Source organism: Homo sapiens, chromosome 5 (genome assembly GCF_000001405.40).
Source record: "Homo sapiens chromosome 5, GRCh38.p14 Primary Assembly".
Lineage (NCBI taxonomy): Eukaryota > Metazoa > Chordata > Mammalia > Primates > Hominidae > Homo > Homo sapiens.
Window position 1 is genome coordinate 134,050,097 of NC_000005.10, and position 18,826 is coordinate 134,068,922.

The 18,826-nt window shown below is 45.7% G+C and overlaps 1 protein-coding gene across 6 annotated transcripts in view, besides 3 other annotated features; it reads right to left on the reverse strand.

Annotated features, from left to right (window-relative positions):
- The window catches only part of VDAC1 (voltage dependent anion channel 1), a 142,670-nt gene that overhangs the window by 78,226 nt on the left and 45,618 nt on the right, over positions 1-18,826 (reverse strand). The window lies entirely within an intron of this gene.
- Positions 1,718-2,293: an enhancer, noted in NCBI's record as "NANOG-H3K27ac hESC enhancer chr5:133387505-133388080 (GRCh37/hg19 assembly coordinates)". NCBI's record gives its function as "activates a minimal SCP1, AML or CMV promoter by ChIP-STARR-seq in naive H9 embryonic stem cells {active_cell/tissue: H9 hESC(naive)}" and the evidence as "EXISTENCE:reporter gene assay evidence [ECO:0000049][PMID:30033119]".
- Positions 8,385-8,983: an enhancer, noted in NCBI's record as "H3K27ac-H3K4me1 hESC enhancer chr5:133394172-133394770 (GRCh37/hg19 assembly coordinates)". NCBI's record gives its function as "activates a minimal SCP1, AML or CMV promoter by ChIP-STARR-seq in primed H9 embryonic stem cells {active_cell/tissue: H9 hESC(primed)}" and the evidence as "EXISTENCE:reporter gene assay evidence [ECO:0000049][PMID:30033119]".
- Positions 8,984-9,580: an enhancer, noted in NCBI's record as "H3K27ac-H3K4me1 hESC enhancer chr5:133394771-133395367 (GRCh37/hg19 assembly coordinates)". NCBI's record gives its function as "activates a minimal SCP1, AML or CMV promoter by ChIP-STARR-seq in primed H9 embryonic stem cells {active_cell/tissue: H9 hESC(primed)}" and the evidence as "EXISTENCE:reporter gene assay evidence [ECO:0000049][PMID:30033119]".

Genomic DNA, 18,826 nt, shown 5'->3' on the forward strand with positions numbered 1-18,826 from the left:
AAATTAGCCAGGCGTGATGGTAGGCGCCTGTAGTCCCAGCAACTCGGGAGGCTGAGGCAGGAGAATTGCTTGAACCTGGGAGGTGGAGGTTGCAGTGAGCCGAGATCACGCCATTGCACTCTAGCCTGGCAAAAGAGCAAGACTCCGTCTAAAAGAAAATAAATAAATAAATAAATAAATGTGCCACCTTCTCTTGTTCAATATTATTCACTGTTTCCTGATTTGAAGTACTTTACCCTTCTACAGAAGTTAATAATTCTATTTTCTAGTGGTTGTACAGTTTGCTTTTAAATTATTCAATGCGTTAGTTCTTCAGCACACCCTTTGGGGGATGCACTGAAGAGAAGCCCCATTTACACTTCCAAGCCCCCCCAGCAACTGTTTCCTCTGGGCAGGGGGAGAGATGAAAGAGAATGCAAAATACTGAGTGTGAAATAGGGAGGCCGATGTCTTCCTAAATTACAGGGGAATGATTGCCCGTTCTTCTCCACATTAATGACTTTCTCTCAAAGTCTTCCACTTCTTCTTAGAAGCTTCCACAATGTACTGGTTGACTTGAAGTTAAGGCAGAATTCTCCTAATGGGAATTAGCCTAAGAAACTTCTTGAAAAACTCAAAGGATGCAAAAATTCTCAAAGTGGAATATTAAAAACATGTCAAATTGGAGATGAGGGTGTCACTGGGCATATCTGTGTTTGCTGAGTTGGCTTTGGGCGAGTGTGGTGGCAGAGTCAAGGTGGGGATGGAAGCAGGGGCTCAGGTGGATAAAAACAATCCACCCCTTCCCAGCAAAAAAGCCATCAGGAGTTTCTGGGGATAAGGAAGGGCCTTGCAAGTGAAGAGGCCTCTGGCGGTTCTTGAGGGCATGTGTGAACTCCTGGCTGAGGGGAGAGTTGGCAGTGTATTAGGCCTTATACAGTTGTATGTGTTGTGCCCTGCACAAGGGCACCTGGCCCGGGGAACCAGTGAGGCTGAAATCCACCCCATGCCCTCCAGCTAGAGGAGGACAGAGCACCTTCTTCCAGTTTCCTTGAAGGCACCCTGTGGGCCAACAGCTGTCTGGACTGTACAGACAGTGAGATGGAGAAGGAGCACTGCCCAGGAGCCAGGGGGGCCAGGCCCTAACTCCAACTCTCCCACAGCCCTCCAGATTGCAATGGTCCCAACCCAGCTCTGATGCTGAGCCCGCTCTCAGAGTCCACAGCAGCTCTGGCAGCACCCACAGTGGGCTAGGCCTGGGCTACAGTGAAGAAGGCGCCTTGGGATGCTTCTGCAGGTTAGGGCAACCAGACTAACCAACGTTCTTCAAACAAAAGACTGCTACAGAGTCACTTGCATTTTGGTTTGGGGCCAGAGCTTCTTCCACTGCCTTTTCCTTTCAGGCAGTGCCCTTCTGTGAGCTTGATCATTTGTGAGAACCTTGTTGAGTGAGTCAGCCAGTCCCCTTGCTCAATACCTGGATGTGACACCATCTGTTCCATATCTCTCTTCTTACAGATATTAAATGATGTTAATCATCAATACCAATCAACAGGGTTAAGGACACACTACCCCTAGTGCCTGGGCAGTTTGTTTTTTTTTTTTTTGGCTTTGTTTTTGTTTTTGTTTTTTTGTTTTTTTGAGATGGAGTCTTGCTCTGTTGCTTCAGCTGGAGTGCAATAGCACGATCTCGGCTCACTGCAACCTCCACCTCCCAGGTTCAAGTGATTCTCCCACCTCAGCCTCCCGAGTATCTGGGATTACAGGCACCTGTCATCATGCCCAGCTAATTTTTGTATCTTTGTAGAGACGGGGTTTCACCATGTTGGCCAGGCTGGTCTTGAACTCCTGAGCTCAGGTGATCCGCCCACCTCAGCCTCCCAAAGTGCTGGGATTACAGGGGTGAGCCACTGCATAAGGCCGAATATTTTAAGCTGAAGGAATCTGAGCAACAGCGGGTACAAGCAAGAAGGACTCTCTGACCTTCCCCTGAAGCAGGTCATAACCCCTCATTTGAAAGGCGCCCTCCCTCCACCAGCGGGAAAGGAAGATGCATCTTCTTACCTCTGAAGACAAAGAGAAATCTGAAGGGTCAAGCTTTCCTGGTTTTGCCCAGTTTGCTACTCTGATTGACCTCATTCTCTTTTGTCCTGTCACCTTTTCCCACAACTCTCCACTCTTCATTAAACCTGGTACAAAACGCAGGTTTAACTGTCTTCAGGTCTTCATTTCTCTATGAAGCCTCTTGTGTTATGTAAAACTTTTTTTTTTGAGACAAGGTCTCACTCTGTCACCCAGGCTGGAATGCAGTAGCTTGATCTTGGCTCACTGCAGCCTCGACCTTGCAGGTTCAAGCAATCCTCCCATGCTACCACGCCTGGCTAATTTTTGTATTTTTTTGTAGAGGCAAAGGTCTCTCCATGTTGTCCAGGCTGGTCTCGAACTCCTGGGCTCAAGTGATCCTCCCAAAGTGCTGGGATCACAGGCATGAGTCACCGTGCTCAACCAAAACTTATATTAAATAAGTTTGCATGCTTTTCTCTTGTTAAGCTGTCTTTTGTTATGGGTCCCTGCTGAGAACCTAGAAGGTTAAAAGGAAAGATGCTTCTCCCTCCCCTATTCAGTCCACTTCCTGAGCACTGCCATGGGCCAGGCGCTGTGCTAGGTGCTCTACACACATGCTCATTTAGCCCCGACACCATGCTGTGGGGAGCTACTGTTGCTCCCCCAACTTTGCAAAGTTAAGAAGCAGAAGCCCTGGCCGGGTGCGGTGGCTCATGCCTGTAATCCCAGCACTTTGGGAGGCCGAGGTGGGCCATCACCTGAGGTCAGGAGTTCTAGACCAGCCTGACCAATATGGTGAAACCCTGTCTCTACTAAAAATACAAAATCAGCTGGGCGTGGTGGTGCACGCCTGTAATCCCAGCTACCCGGGAGGCTGAGGCAGGAGAATCCCTTGAACCCAGGAGGTGGAGGTTGCGGTGAGCTGAGATAGCGCCATTGCACTCCAGCCTGGGCAACAAGAGTGAAACTCCGTCTCAAAAAAAAAGAAGAAAGAAATAAAAGAAACAGAAGCCCCAAATACCACAGTGCATAACTGAGCAGGGTTTGAATTCAGATCAGACTGACTCCAAATCCAGGCCCTGCTAACACCACTTTCTTTTTAAATGAGGAAAATGAAGCATGGAGTGGCCATGCCACTCGCCTGGTCACCCAGCAAGTCAGCAAAAAGATGGCTTTCAGTTCCTTCTGAAAAGCCCTCCATTCTACAAACAACCCCCTTCCAACCCGCACCCACCATGCCTGGGGATACTCTGCATTTTGTCAGTTTGCTGTGGGTCAATGGACCCATTGCCCAACCCTCCATCATTGTCTAGGGCTCCTGTGAGCCGTGCCAGGGGCAGGCGCCAGGAAGGAGGATCCTGCAGGAGGAAGCACTGAGCGCAGCCTGCATGGAGTCAGACCCGGAGGACCTCACCCCAGGGCAGCTGCTCTGGGAGGAAGCCTGGGGGGAAACAGAACAGGTTATGGACACCCCATCCTGTCCCCCTCAGCCCCATTCCGGGCCATTCCACATTGCATGGGTGGGACTTTCTCTCCAGCCTCCACTTTGCTGGGCAACTTAGTTAGCATCTCTGTGCTACCCAGTCAGGGCAGCCCACCCATACGGCAGTCAACCAGCGCCTGCCTTCACCTAGGGAAGATGCCTTTTTCCCTAAACCACAAGTCAACAAGTCAGAAACAGGGCTTCTTTCCATTCTCTATCTTTATGGTGGATTCCTCCCAGAGCTGGCATTTACTCCTACTCATTAAAAATGCAAAGAACCAAGTACAGCAACAGAGAAGTCTTACGTTATGACTTCCTGTGGGTTACAGGCCAGAGGAGGGAACAATCAGCTCCTTTGTTGTGCAAGCTGCTGTTTGTCACTGACAATGGCATTCTTAAGGAATTATGATATTAAGGATTTAATAACCATTTGGTATAAGCAGTAAAACATTTCAATTATGGCGTTTCTGGAAAGTACTGTCCTCATCTGTTGCAGGAATTTACAAGGTGTCTTTTAATTAAGTCGGTTCTAAATGAGACACCTTCTCAGTGTGGTAATTTTTTGAATGAAACTGCCCTGAAGTACTAATTAGTTTGTTTTTAATGCTTGATTTACTCTGCCAGCATGGTGGCTAGGGCGGGGCTGCCCTGCTGGAACTGGATGAATCTCCAGCAGGCAGGAACAAGGTGCAGCGGCTCAGGGCTCTCCTGGCTGGAGAAATGGAGGTAGTTCATTTCACCCTGGCAAGCTTCTAGACTCTCCCTGTTGAGAACTGACCATAGTCTGTCTTTCTTTTCTTTTCTCTTTTATTTTCCTTTCTTTCTTCCTTCCTTCCTTTTTTTTTTTTTTTTTCTTTTGATGGAGTCTCGCTCTGTTGCCCAGGCTGGAGTGCAGTGGTGCCATCTTATGTCACTGCAACCTCTGCCTCCCAGGTTCAAGCAATTCTCCCCCTCAGCCTCCGGAGTAGCTGTAATTACAGGCGCCCATCGTCATGCCTAGCTAATTTTTTTGTATTTTTGTACAGACAGGATTTCACCATGTTGGCCAAGCTGGTCTTGAACTCCTGACCTCAGGTGATCCGCCCACCTTGGCCTCCCAATGTGCTGAGATTACAGGTGTGAGCCACCTCGCCCAACTGGACCACAGTCTTTCAGCCAAACTGGGAAGTGCCTCAGTTACTGGCCCTCCTCCTGATTAACCTGACGAACCACTTACCACAGGAAGCGGCGACTGAGCTGCCTGGGAATGTGGTTACTGCCCCATTGCTAGAGGTGGCGAGCAGAGGGCATTTGGGCATCAGGTAGGCAAGTGGGCTAGGTGACCTCAGAGGTCCGTCCCCACCCAGTGTAACTCTGGTCGTTCCTTTATTGTTCAGTCATATGTCGATCACCAGACATTGATTGAGTCCCCTCTCTGTGCACATAAACGGAAAGCAAAGAAGGCAGGATGGCTGCCCTGGTGGTGCCCACAGCTCAGCTGCATGGGGTGGGGATGCTGGATAGACAGAGTGGGAAGCAGCCACAAAGGAGACAGGCTGGCAGCTCTGGGAGATGGGGCAGGTGGCCCCCAGGAAGCCACAGGGGTGGGGTGTAGGGTGGATATGGGATGTCTGTTTCTTAGGAATGGCAGTTGGACCCCGCTGTGGTGGCTATGGGGTGATTTGATCTGAGGAAGGGGGGCATGGGAAGAGTTTTCAGCCTTGGAGGAGATTTCCCCGTGTCTCAGGCGTGCACAAATACATGTACATGCATTCTGGTCCTCGTGACATGTGAGGACAAGTGCTTATTTTGTTTGTTTGTTTGTTTGTTTGTTTTGAGATGGAGTCTCGCTCTGTCACCCAGGCTGGAGTGCAGTGGCGCGATCTCGGCTCACTGCAAGCTCCGCCACCCGGGTTCTTGTCATTCTCCTGCCTCAGTCTCCCAAGTAGCTGGGACCATAGGCGCCCGCCACCACGCCCCGCTAATGTTTTTTTTTTTTTTTTTTTTTTTTTTTTTTTAGTAGAGACAGGGTTTCACCGTGGTCTTGATCTCCTGACCTCAGGTGATCCGCCCGCCATGGCTTCCCAAAGTGCTGGGATTACAGGCGTGAGCCACCGCGCCCGGCTGCTTATTTTGTTTTTAATTGTCTTTTTTTCTTTAAAAGTAAATACATGCCTGTAAACTATATAGATTAAAAAGTGAAAGTCTCCCATTATCTCAATTGTTATCAGCCCCTTCCAGAGACAAGCACCATTAACATCCTTCCAGACCTTTCCTATGGGCGTGCAAGCACACATGCATTCACACACAGAGAGAACTTGCTTACCTAAATAGATCATATTAAATCCAGAGATTGGCCAGGCGCGGTGGCTCACGCCTGTAATCCCAGCACTTTGGGAGGCTGAGGCAGGTGAATCACCTGAGGTCAAGAGTTTGAGACCAGCCTGGCCAATATGGTGAAACCCCATCTCTACTAAAAAGATACAAAAAGTAGCTGGACGTGGTGGCATGCACCTGTAATCCCAGCTACTCGGGAGGCTGAGGCAGGTGAATTGCTTGAACCGGGGAGGCAGAGGTTGCAGTGAGCCGATATAGCACCATTGCACTCCAGCCTAGGCGACAACAGTGAAACTCCGTCTCAAAAAAAAAAAAAAAAAAAAAAAGATCTAGGGGTCTGTGATTTATTTTTACCTTACAAGATATGATTTTTGCATAAATCAGTACATAAAGATGTGCAGCTATGTGTAGCCTAGTGTGTACATCACTGTATTGATGAACATTAAGGCTGTTGCCTTTTTTACTTTTTTACAATTGCCAACAAAGCTGCACTGAATTTTTTTTTTTTTTTTTTTTTTTGAGACAGGGTTTATCTCTGTTGCCCAGGTTGGAGTACAGTGGTGCGATCATGGCTCACTGCAGCCTTCACCTCCTGGGCTCAAGTGATCCTCTAGCCTCGGCCTCCCGAAGTGCTGGGATTACAGGCATGAGCCACTGCACCAGCCCCAGTGAACATTCTTGAACATAACTTTTTGTGTTTTGTGTTATTCTTGGGATTGCAAAATGTTTTTGTATTATTGTGTAAGTTTTTCTTTTTCTTTTTTGAGACGGAGTTTCGCTCTTTTTGCCCAGGCTGGAGTGCAATGGCACGATCTTGGCTCACCGCAACCTCCGCCTCCCAGGTTCAAGCAATTCTCCTGCCTTAGCCTCCCGAGTAGCTGAGATTACAGGCATGCACCACCACGCCCGGCTAATTTTGTATTTTTAGTAGAGATGGGTTTCTCCATGTTGAGGCTGGTCTCGAACTCCTGAACTCAGGTGATCCGCTCCCCCCTCTCCACCAGCCTCCCAAAGTTCTGGGATTACAGGCGTGAGCCACCACGCCCGGCCCAAGATTTTCTATATGAAGTGTTCTCAGAAGTTTACTGCTGAGTCTAAAGTATATGTGTCTTTTGGCTGGGCACAGTGGCTCACACCTATAATTCCAGCACTTTAGGAGGCCGACGCAGGTGGATCACCTGACATCAGGAGTTCGAGACCAGCCTGACCAACATGGTAAAACCCTGTCTCTACTAAAAATATAAAATTAGCCAAGTGAAGGCTGGGCACGGTGGCTCATGCCTGTAATCCCAGCACTCTGAGAGGCCAAGATGGGCATACCACTTGAGGTCAGGAGTTGGAGACCAGCCTGGCCAATATGGTGAAACCCCATCTCTACTAAAAATACAAAAATTAGCTGGCTGTGGTGGCACACGCCTCTAATCTCAGCTACTTGGGAGGCTGAGCCCGGAGAATTGCTAGAACCTGGGAGGCGGAGGTTGCAGTGAGCCAAGATCACACCACTGCACTCCAGCCTGGGCGACAGAGTGAGGCTCCGTCTCAAAAAAAAAAAATTTATATCTATATCTATATCTATATCTATATCTATATCTATATCTATATAAGCCAAGTGTGGTGGCTCATGCCTGTAATCTCAGCTACTTGGGAGGCTGAGGCACAACAATTGCTTGAACCTGGGAGGCGGAGGTTACAGTGAGCAGAGATTGCACTATTGCACTCCAGCCTGGGAAACAAGAGCGAAACTCCATCTGAAAAAAAAAAAAAAGGATATGTGTCTTTTGAATTTTAACAGGTACTGCCAAATGGCCCTTCAGAACAGTCTTGACCCCCTTGCCCCTGCCACATTGCAGTACCCATTTCCCTACATTCGCTTCAACACTGGATATTTTTAGTCCTTTAAATTTTTTGCCAGTCTGATGGGCAGACAAAAATAAAAGGTACTTCTCACTGTTTTTTGTTTTGTTTTGTTTTGTTTTAGACCAAGTTCTTGCTCTGTCACCCAGGCTGGAGTGCAGTGGCATGATCTTGGCTCAATGCAATCTCCACCTCCTGGGCTCAAGCAATCCTCCCACCTCAGCCTCCCAAGTAGCTGGAATTACAGGCACCCGCCACATGCCCAGCTAATTTTTGTATTTTTAGTAGAGATGGGGCTTCACCATGTTGACCAGGCTGGTCCAGACCTTAAATAATCTGCCTGCTTCAGCCACCCAAAGTGTTGAGATTACAAGTGTGAGCCACCACGCCCAGTTGCTTCTCACTATTTTGACTTCTGTCCTTGTTTTGTAAGCTGATGATGATAAAAAGGCTGAGTGAGTGGCCAGCGGACCCAGGTCAGCAGCCGGGCTGTCCCTGGCCAGCCAGGGACTCTGACTTTTGTTTTTTGTTTTTTTTTTGAGACGGAGTCTCACTCTGTCGCCCAGGCTGGAGTGAAGTGGTGCAATCTCGGCTCACTGGAAGCTCCGCCTCCTGAGTTCACGCCATTCTTCTGCCTCAGCCTCCCAAGTAGCTGGGACTACAGGCACCCGCCACCACACCCGGCTAATTTTTTTTGTATTTTTAGTAGAGAAGGGGTTTCACCGTGTTAACCAGGACGGTCTCAATCTCCTGACCTCATGATCCACCTGCCTTGGCCTCCCAAAGTGCTGGGATTACAGACGTGAGCCACCGCACCCGGCCCAAGGACTCTGACTCTTAAGGCCACCTGAGAGACCTTAGGCAGACCATGCATTGCACCAGCCTTGATCATGCAAACTGCATTCTAATCAGGGCCAGATAGGGAACAGAGCAAAGATGGAGCCTATCATTCCCAGGGACTGAGGGGACCTGAGCAAGCAGGGCCTTCCTGAGGCAGAGGGTGTCTGAACCTGACACAGCAACGTGACCGGCACTCCAAGGCCTCTCCACAAGCCTCTCTGCAGGGAACTGCAGCCCCAGCAGACAGTCCCTGGCCCCACCTTGCCCTCTCCCCAGGAGCTGAGCCCAACTCCACCCAGCCATCAAGGGTGGGCTTTACAATAACCGCCTCCTCATGCCCGCGTGCCAATGCAGAGGCTATGCACCCTGCATGCCAGCAGAACAGGCAAGCCAGAGTGATTCAGCACTGCCTAGATTGTGGCTTGCCAACCCATGGTCGGCAACAGGCCATGAGTCACAAATTACAGGCCTTCTGTCCTAGCAGGCTTTGCCAGCCTATGGGGTGGCAACGCTGGCAAGGAGCTCCAGAGCTCCAGGCTGAGGGCTGTAAGGAAAGAAAGGCCCAGACAGGAGCAGCAGACTGGGCACTCTTACAGCTTCCCTCCCCACCAGCCAACGTGAGGCTCCCAGGCTCCCAGGACACAGAGCCAAGGTACAGTTTCAGTGATGTGATCCCAGGAGAGAGGCTTGGACATGCTCTGACCCAGGGCTTCCTTGGCTCTAGACCAAGAGGAAGCGGCTGGCATCAGAGCCTAGCACACTTTCATTCTGCATCTTTCAAGTGAAACTATGGGAGAGCCTCCCACGTGCTGTAGGCAGTGGCCCCAGGGAAGTGGTCCTCTGCCCTCTAAGACATCCCCACACCCAGGGAGGGCCTGGAGCAGCCTTGTTCATAGGGCCAGGAAGCTAGAAGCCCGTCGCGCTGTTTCATGAGCTCCTACCAAACAGGAGCTGACCCCACAGGCCTCTGAGCATCAGCACACCCCCGAGCCATTTGGGCATCCTTGTCCATGACAACAGGGTTTCCAGAATTTTCAAGAGAACTGGGTCATTATTTTGTGCTAGTATAATGAAGCCAACCACACCCTATACCCCCCACCTCAATCCTGCCCCCAACAAAATTCCTTTCAGTTCAAGAACTGATTCTCAGCAACAGCAAACTTAAATGCTACCCAAATTTGATGTCTTGTTTGGGTTTCTTTGTTATACATGTTTGATTGTGTGGCTGAAGGTGACGCAGAGAGGCACAAACAGCAAGGAATGAGAGCCAAAGCCAGGCTTGGGCAGAGGCCCAGGGAGACTGTGTGTCTCCTTCAGGAGCAATCACACCCACCCCCAGGACTCTGAGCATCTCTAAAATCCACAGGCCTTCTGCACCCTGCACGCCCTCCAGGGCTGTTCCACAGAGATCCTCTCCCACACCCCAGGGCCCCTGCTAGTGATGCTGGCCTCATCAAGTACATGGAACAAGCCAGATACAGACTCTAATGAGCACATGTTGGGCACAGTAAAGCCAAGAGTCAGAAACTGATCCTGATTTCAGCAGCTGGAAACTTTGTGCCATTTCTTAGGAACTAATAATAATAATACTGGTCACCACTGAGTGCAACTGTGCTCCAGCTACCACGTTGATGCGCTGCACGCACCTCATCCCAGCCAGGGATCGACCACCCGTCCAATGCAGGTGTCTGCATCCCCAGCACCTGGCACAGTGCCTGGCACCAGGAAGGTGCTCAGGAAATATGAATGAATGAATAGTAAGGTCAGTACACATTAGGAAACCAAAAAGCTTCCTAGTCATTTCCAAACATTTCTTTTCCAATAATCGTGTTTCTTATTAGAGATATATGATACACTTGTGAATAGACATATTTTGCCTTTTTTAAAATTTGGAAGCATTTCAAACACATTGAAAAGTACAGAAAATAATATGATAGCTCAAACCCTATTTTAAAATATCAAAGAATTTATAACTGCAACATTCAGAATAGAGCTTGCTTGTAGGCTGGAAGACAAAGGATGGGGAAGGAGGATACAATAGTAAAATGGTCTTGGTAAAATTCTAGTTTTTAAGTTAGTTGTAAGGGTCATGAGGCTTATTTTGAAATTATACCTATAAATCATATATATGTTGCACATATCATTCTATATGTATTATGTATATTACATGGAAACATTCAACAAATGAAAACGATATAGTAGACATACTTGTGCTTTATTTGTTGCAGATCTCCTCCTCTTCTTCTTCTTTTTTTTTTTTTTTGAGACAGGGTCTCACCCTGTCACCCAGGCTGGAGTGCAATGGTGCGATCAGCTCACTGCAACCTCCAGCCAGGTTCCAGCAATTCTCCCACCTCAGCTTCCCGAGTAGCTGGGATTGCAGGCACACACCACCACACCTGACTCATTTTTTGTATTTTTAGTAGAGACAGGGTTTCACCATATTGGTCTCGAACTCCTGACCTCAAGTGATCTGCCCACCTCGGCCTCCCAAAGTGCTGGGATTACAGACATGAGCCACCACATCTAGCCTCCTTTTTTTTTTTTTTTTTCTTTTTAAAGAAGCAAACTATACCTATGGCTAAAGCCCCATCCTCCATCCTGTTCTTCCTGTTCCTCATCTTCCCTCCTGGATATAATTGTTAAATATTTTTATTTCACATTTGTATACTGACTTTATATCCAGCCACCTAACTAAACTGTTCTTAGTTCAAACAGCTCACTTGTAAAGTCCCTGAATTTGTTGTTATTGTTGTTTGGAATAGGTCTCACTCTGTTGCCCAGGCTGGAATGCAATGGTAAGATCACAGTTCACTGCTGCCTCAACTTCCCAGACTCAAGCAATCCTCTCACCACCACCTCCCAAGTAGCTGGGACTACAGGCACACACCACCATACCCAGCTAATTTTAAAATTTTTTTGTAGAGATGGGGTCTCCCTATGTTGCACAGGCTGGTCTTGAACTCCTGGACTCAAGGGATCCTCCTGCCTCAGCCCCCAAGAATGCTGGGATTATAAGCGAGAGCCACTGCACACAGCCCCTGAATTTTTTATGAAGACAATCATGTCTTCTTACACATAAAGTTGCAATTTTTTCTTCCATTGTAATTTTTATTCTTTGAATTTCTTTTTCTCATCTTACTATGCTAGCTAAAACATCTAGCACAATGTTGAGTGGTATCAGTGGTAGCAGGTAGATTTTCCTCATGTCAGATTTTAACGGAAATGCTTAAAATATTTTGCCATCAAGGATATTGTTTGCTGTAGGTATTTAGTAGATACCCTTTCTCAGGTTTGGGAAGTTCCCTTCAATTCTGGATTGGTCAAGAATTGTTTTTTGGGTTTTTTTGGTTTTGTTTTTTTTGAGACAGAGTCTTGCTCTGTCGTCCAGGCTGGAGTGCAGTGGTATGATCTTGGCTCACTGCAGCCTCTGCCTCCCAGGTTCCTGGGTTCAAGCGATTCTCCTGCCTCAGCCTCCTGAGTAGCTGGGACTACAGCAGCCCACCACCATGCCCGGCTAATTTTGGTATTTTTAGTAGAGATGGGGTTTCACTATGTTGGCTAGGATGGTCTTGATCTCCTGACCTTGTGATCCACCTGCCTCAGCCTCCCAAAGTGCTGGGATTACAGGCTTGAGCCACTTTGCCTGGCTGGTCAAGAGTTTTTACAAGGAGTGATACGGAATTTTTATCAAATGCTTTTTCTACTTGCATCTGTTGAGATGATTATATGATTGTTCTTCTTTACTTCATTAATTTGGCAAATTACTTTAGGTTTTCTAATTTTAAACTGTCCTTGTATCCCTGGTGTGTGTATCTATATACAGTTTGCTAATACATTTAGGAAGTTTGCCTTTCTCTTCACAAATGAGATTGCCTATAATATTCTCATATTGCCCTTGACCAAACAAGATTATACTAACCTCATAAAGTTAATTAAGAAGCATTCTTTCTTTTCCAATTTTCTGAAACAGCTTTTGTTTGTTTTTTGTTTTGTTTTTGTTTCTTTGTTTGCGATGGAGTCTTGCTCTGTTGCCCAGGCTAGAGTGCAATGGCGCAATCTCGGCTCACTGCAACCTCTACCTCCCAGATTCAAGCGATTCTCCCGCCTCAGCCTCCTGAGTAGCTGGGAGTACAGGCGCCCACCACCATGCTCAGCTAATTTTTGTTTTTTTAGTAGAAATGGGGTTTCACCATGTTAGCCAGGCTGGTCTCGAAGCCCTGACCTCAAATGATCTGCCCTCCTCGGCCTCCCAAAGTGCTGGGATTACAGGCATGAGCCACTGCACCCGGCCTGAATTTTCTGAAACAGTTTAAATAAGAGAGGGATATCTGTTCCTTGAATAATTTGGCAAAAATCACCCATAAAATTACCTAGGCCTATAGTTTCCCAGTATGTTGGAAAGTTGTTGCTTTTTTAAAATAAACTTTTAGTTCTGGAATAATTTTAGACTTACAAAAAAGTTTCAAAGATGGTGAACAGAGTTTCCCTATATCTGTCATCTAGTTTCCCCTCAAGTTAATATATGAATATATAACCATGGTATATTTGTCTAAATAAGAAATTAACATTGATATATTACTATTAACTAAACTCCAGTCTTTGTTTGGATTTCACCACCACCATTAGTTTTCCCACTAATGTCCTTTCTCCGTTCCAACATCCAGTGTGGACTACCACAATGTATTTAGGGAGGGTTGATTTATATGTTTACTTAACAGTCTTGGTTGATTGTTATAGTAACAGCCTCCCTACCCCCATCCCTGTCTCTATCCCTGTATCCTTACCTATGTATAATCCCTCCCACATTGATTCAGTGATTTGCTTTGGCCAAGATTTGTTATAATTTGGCCAATGAGACATTAGCAAGTGTGATACAAGCAGAGGCTTGAAAAACACTTGTGCACTGGGGCTTGCTGTATTTTGCTGCTTGCTGGGAATCCTTCTGCTAACACAAGAAGTCTGGAATAACCTGACGGAGACATGTGACTCAGCTGACAGCCAGCACCAACTGCTAGACACGTGAGGGAGGGCATCCTGGATTGTCCAGAGCCAGAAGAGCTGCCAGATGGTGGTCACTGCCAGAGTGTCCCTAGGTAAGACCAGCAGAAGAACTGTCCAGATGTGCCTGGCCTGAACTGCTAACCACAGAATCATGAGCAAATAAAATGATTGTTGTCTAATTTTTATTTATTTACTTACTTATCTATTTATTTTTAGAGACATGGTCTTTCTCTGTCACCAGACTGAAGTGCAGTAGCACAATTAGAGCTCACTGCAGCCTCAAACCCCCAGACTCAAGCGATTCCCCCTCCTCAGCCTCCCCAGTAGCTGAGACTACAGGCGCATACCACCTGTACTAATTTTTTTTTTTTTTTTTTTTTTTTTAGAGACAGGTTCTCCCTATGTTGCCCAGGCTGGTCACAAACTCCTGGGCTCAAGTGATCCTCCTGCCTCAGCTTCTCAAAGTGCTGGGATTACAGGCAAGAGCCACTGTGTCCAGTCCATGAATTTTTCATATAGACAATCATGGCATCTTGAATATAAAATTGCAATTTTTTTCTTCCACTGTAATTTTGGGCAAGTGATTCTCCTGCCTCAACTTCCCAAAGTGCTGAGATTACAGGCGTGAGCCATCATACCCAGCTGACTGATTATTGTTTTTTTGTTTTTTGGGGTTTTTTTTTGAGAGAGAGAGAGTCTTATTCTGTCACCCAGGCTGGAGTGCAGTAGTGCAATCTTGGCTCACTGCAACCTCCGCCTCCTGGTGCAAGCAATTTTCATGTCTCAACCTCCCGAGTAGCTGGGATTACAGGCATTTGCCACTGCACCTGGCTAATTTTTGTATTTTAGTAGAGATGGGGTTTCACCATGTTGGCCAGGCTGGTCTCGAACTCCTGACCTCAGATGATCTGCCCACCTCGGCCTCCCAAAGTGCTGGGATTACAAGTGTGAGCCGCTGGGCCTGGTCTGATTATTGTTTTAAGATACTATGTTTTGGGGGTGATTTGTTACTAAGCAATAGATAACTGATACAAGGGATATAGAACTAACATAAAACTATTCAATTTTTCTGTAACTTCTTTTTTTTTTTTCCTTTTTTGAGCTAAGGTCTGGCTCTATCACCCAGGCTAGAGTACAATGGTGTGATCTCAGCTCACTGTGACCTCTGCTCCCTGGGCTCAAGTGATCCTCCCACCTCAGCCTCCCAAGTAGCTGGGACCCACAGGCGTGCACCACCATGCCCAGCTATTTTTTTGTATTTTTAGTAGAGATGGGGTCTTGCCATATTGCCCAGGTTGGTCTTGAACTTGTGAGCTCAAGCAATCTGCCTGACTCAGCCTTCCAAAGTGCTGGGATTATAGGCATGAGCCACCATGCCCGGCCTTAGTTTCCTTTTTTATTTCCTTTTTTACTACTTTCTTCAGGCTATCCTGTTACTCTTTTTCTAATTCTTGAACTGGATACTCACCTTATTAATTTTTAGTCTTTTTCTTTCTCTAATGTATTCTTTAAAGGATATAAATTTCTCTCTAATCATTGTTCTAGCTGATTCCAAAAAAAATTTATATGATGTTTTAATGATCTTCACTTCCAAATGTTTTGTAATTTTCTCTGTGGTTTCCTCTTTTCCCTATGAATTATTTAGACACACATCCAAATATAATGGGATTATTTTGGCTATCTCTTTGGTTTTAATTTTAATTTTTTTTTTTTTTTTTTTTTTGAGACAGAGTCTCACTCTACCATTCAGGCTGGAGTGCAGTGGCACATCTTGGCTCACTGCAACCTCTGCCTCCTGGGTTCAAGTAATTCTCCTGCTTCAGCCTCCCGAGTAGCTGGGACTACAAGCGTGCGCCACCACACCCAGCCAATTTTTGTATTTTTCGTAGAGACAGGGTTTTGCAATATTGGCCAGGCTGGTCTCAAACTCCTGGCCTCAAGTTATCCACCTGTCTCAGCCTCTCAAAATGCTGGAATTATAGACATGAGCCACTGTGCCCTGCCTCTTTGGTTTTAACTTCTAGTTTTATTTCATTAAGATGAGATAATATAGTCAGTATGATAGCTATTCTTTGATATTTGTTAAAATTTGCTTTATGAATTAGTTCAGGGGTCATCAAACTTACTTTTTCTGTAAAGGGCCAGATAGTAAATTTTTTTTTTTTTTTTTTTTTTGAGACGGGGTTTCACTCTTTTGCCCAGGCTGGAGTGCAGTGGTGCCATCTTGGCTCACTGCAACCTCTGCCTTCTGGTTTCAAGTGATTCTCCTGCTTCAGCCTCCCGAGTAGCTGGGATTACAGGCCCCCGCCACCACGCCTGGCTAATTTCATATTTTTAGTAGAGATGGGGGGTCTCACCATGTTGGGCAGGCTGGTCTCGAACTCCTGACCTCATGATCCACTTGCCTCAGCTTCCCAAAGTGCTGGGATTACAGGTGTGAGCCACCGCGCCTGGTCGATAGTAAATATTTTTATCTACTTATTTTTTTGAGACGGAGTCTCGCTCTGTTGCCCAGGCTGGAGAGTGCTGGCTAATTTTTGTATTTTTAGTAGAGATGGGGTTTCACCATACTGACCAGGCTGGTCTCAAACTCCTGACCTTGCGATCCACCCACCTCAGCCTCCCAAAGTGCTGAGATTACAGGCATGAGCCACCATGCCCGGCCGATAGTAAATATTTTTGACGTTTTACAGTCTCTGTTGTAACTATTCAACTCTGGTAGTAAGGTGTGAATGCAGCTATAGACAATATATAACAAATGAGCATGTCTGTGTTTATTTTGTTTTGTTTTTGTTTTATTCTAGCCTGAAAATCACTGTCTTTTAAATAGTCTACTCCATTTACTTTTACTGTAATTTCTAACATAATTTATACCTGCTACATGTGTTAGTATATTGGTTAGCTGCTTTTGCAGTGAAATCAAATTAAAAGTGGCTTAAACAAGATGAAATTTTTAACTCTTACATAAAAGTCCTGGCTAGTGTGATAGCTCTTCTCCACAAAATTATCGGGGGCCCAGTCTCTTCCTTTCTTATTGCTCTGTCATCTTCAATACACAGCTTCCATCTTTTGGTGTGAGATAGATGATGTAGCTCCTGTTATTACACCTGAATTCCAACCAATTAGAAGAGGAAAAGGAGAAAGAGAAGGGAATAGAAGAGAATTTCCCCGTTTAATGGCAACACAGAAATTGCAATGTCACTTCTGGTCACATACCACTGGCCAAATCTATCTGTAAGAGAGGCTGAGGGATGTATAATAGATTTTAAATCTGCTTGGCAAAAAATATCCATTCCCCTGCTAGAAAGGGAGAACAGATATCTAGGGTTAAGTAATAAATTTTGCCACATCTGCCATTCTAGTTTGTATTTTTTGTTTATAATGTGTTTTCTTTGCTTCTTTTTCCCCCTCTTTTCCTGCTTTTGATTGTTTTGATCAAAAGTTCTTTTTTTTTTTTTTTGAGACGGAGTTTGTTGTTACCCGGGCTGGAGTGCAATGGCACAATTTCAGCTCACTGCAACCTCTGCCTTCTGGGTTCAAGCGATTCTCCTACCTCAGCCTCCCGAGGAGCTGGGATTACAGGCATATGCCACCATGCCTGGCTAATTTTGTATTTTTAGTAGAGACAGGGTTTCTCCATGTTGGTCAGGCTGGTCTTGAACTCTTGACCTCAGGTGACATGCCCACCTCGGCCTCCCAAAGTGCTGGGATTACAGGTGTGAGCCACCGCTCCCAGTCAGATCAAATGTTCTTATCTTTATTTTCCCTAGCAGGTTAGAAGTTACATATTCTAAAAAAAAAAAAAAAAAAAAAAAGTTATATATTCTGTTTTTTATACTTTTAGTAGTTGTCTTTACATTTTTAACTTATAGAATTGTCTTAATAAAGTCCAAATATGAAATATTAATGCTACCTCAGAGGCAGATCCAGGTTTTATGGGATCTGAAGCTTATTCAATTTGGAAGCTCTCTTTTTTAAAAAAAGAAGAAGGAGGAGGAGAAGGAGAAGGGGAGGCGGTGAGGGGGAGGGGGAGGGCGAGGGAGGAGAGGGGGAGGGAGAGGGAGAGGGAGAAGGAGAGGGAGAAGGAGAAGGAGACAGAAATTACTCTTGCAGCTTATACTTCCCTAGCTTCATGATCAGTTCACTTTCTGTTACACTCTCTTCCAAAACAACAAAAGAACCTTAGAATGCTTCACTTCAGTTGGGCATGATACCTCAGGCCTGTAATCCCAGCACTTTGGGAGGCCAAGGAAGGCGGATCACTTGAGGTCAGGAGTTCAAGACCAGCCTGGCCAACATGGTGAAACCCTGTCTCTACTGAAAATAAAAAAATTAGCCGGTCATGGTGGTGTGAGCCTGTAATACCAGCTACGTGGGAGGCTGAGGCAGGAGAGTCACTTGGACCTGGGAGGTGGAGGTTGCAGTAAGCAGAGATCGCACCACTGCACACCAGCCTGGGCGACAGAGGGAGACTACATCTCAAAAAAAAATACAAAACAAAAACAGAATGCTTCACTTCAATTACTCTACTCCATCTTCTTAATTATTGTTACCTATCAGTTTATTTTTTTTTCTCATTTTAAACCCTCCCAATTAGTTGCTATCATTGTTGTTGTTTTATACACAAGGATTATGAGATTTACCCAACATATATTCTTTTTCCCCTTAGTATTGTGTCTTCCGTTCCACTCCTATCAGTTTTTTTTTTCTTTTTGAGGAATACTCTTCAGCAATTTTTTCAATGAGGGGATGTATGTGAAAATGTTTCTCAGTGCTTTTTTTTTTTTTGTCTGAAACGTCATTATTTTGCACTCATTCTTGAACAACACGTATTTTAGTTTAGAATTTGGGGAAAACAATTATTTTCCCTCAGCCCTTTGAAGATATTATTCAGATCTCTTTTGTTGCTAATGAGAAGGCTGTTTACTTATGATTTCTTTGTAGGTAATTTTTCTTTTTTCTGTGGTTTCTTTTAGGATTTTCTCATTGTCTTTGGTGTCAAGAAGTTTCACTACAACGTGGCTAGGTATAAAGTGATTTATATTTTCTCTGTTCGGAAACCACTGTGCCTCTTCAGCCTGAGGAGTCACAGACCCAACAGTTCTGGAAAATTATTAGCTGTCAGCTCTTTGCATATTGCTTCTTCCCCATTCTCTCCATTGTCTTCTGCCGAAATTAATAGTAGAGGTGTTTCTTCCACTTACTCTATCCTCTGTGCATCTTGGTCTTCTTTTCTCATTTCTTTTCAGTGTTTTAAAAATCTCTAAGCTGAATCAGTACACTTAT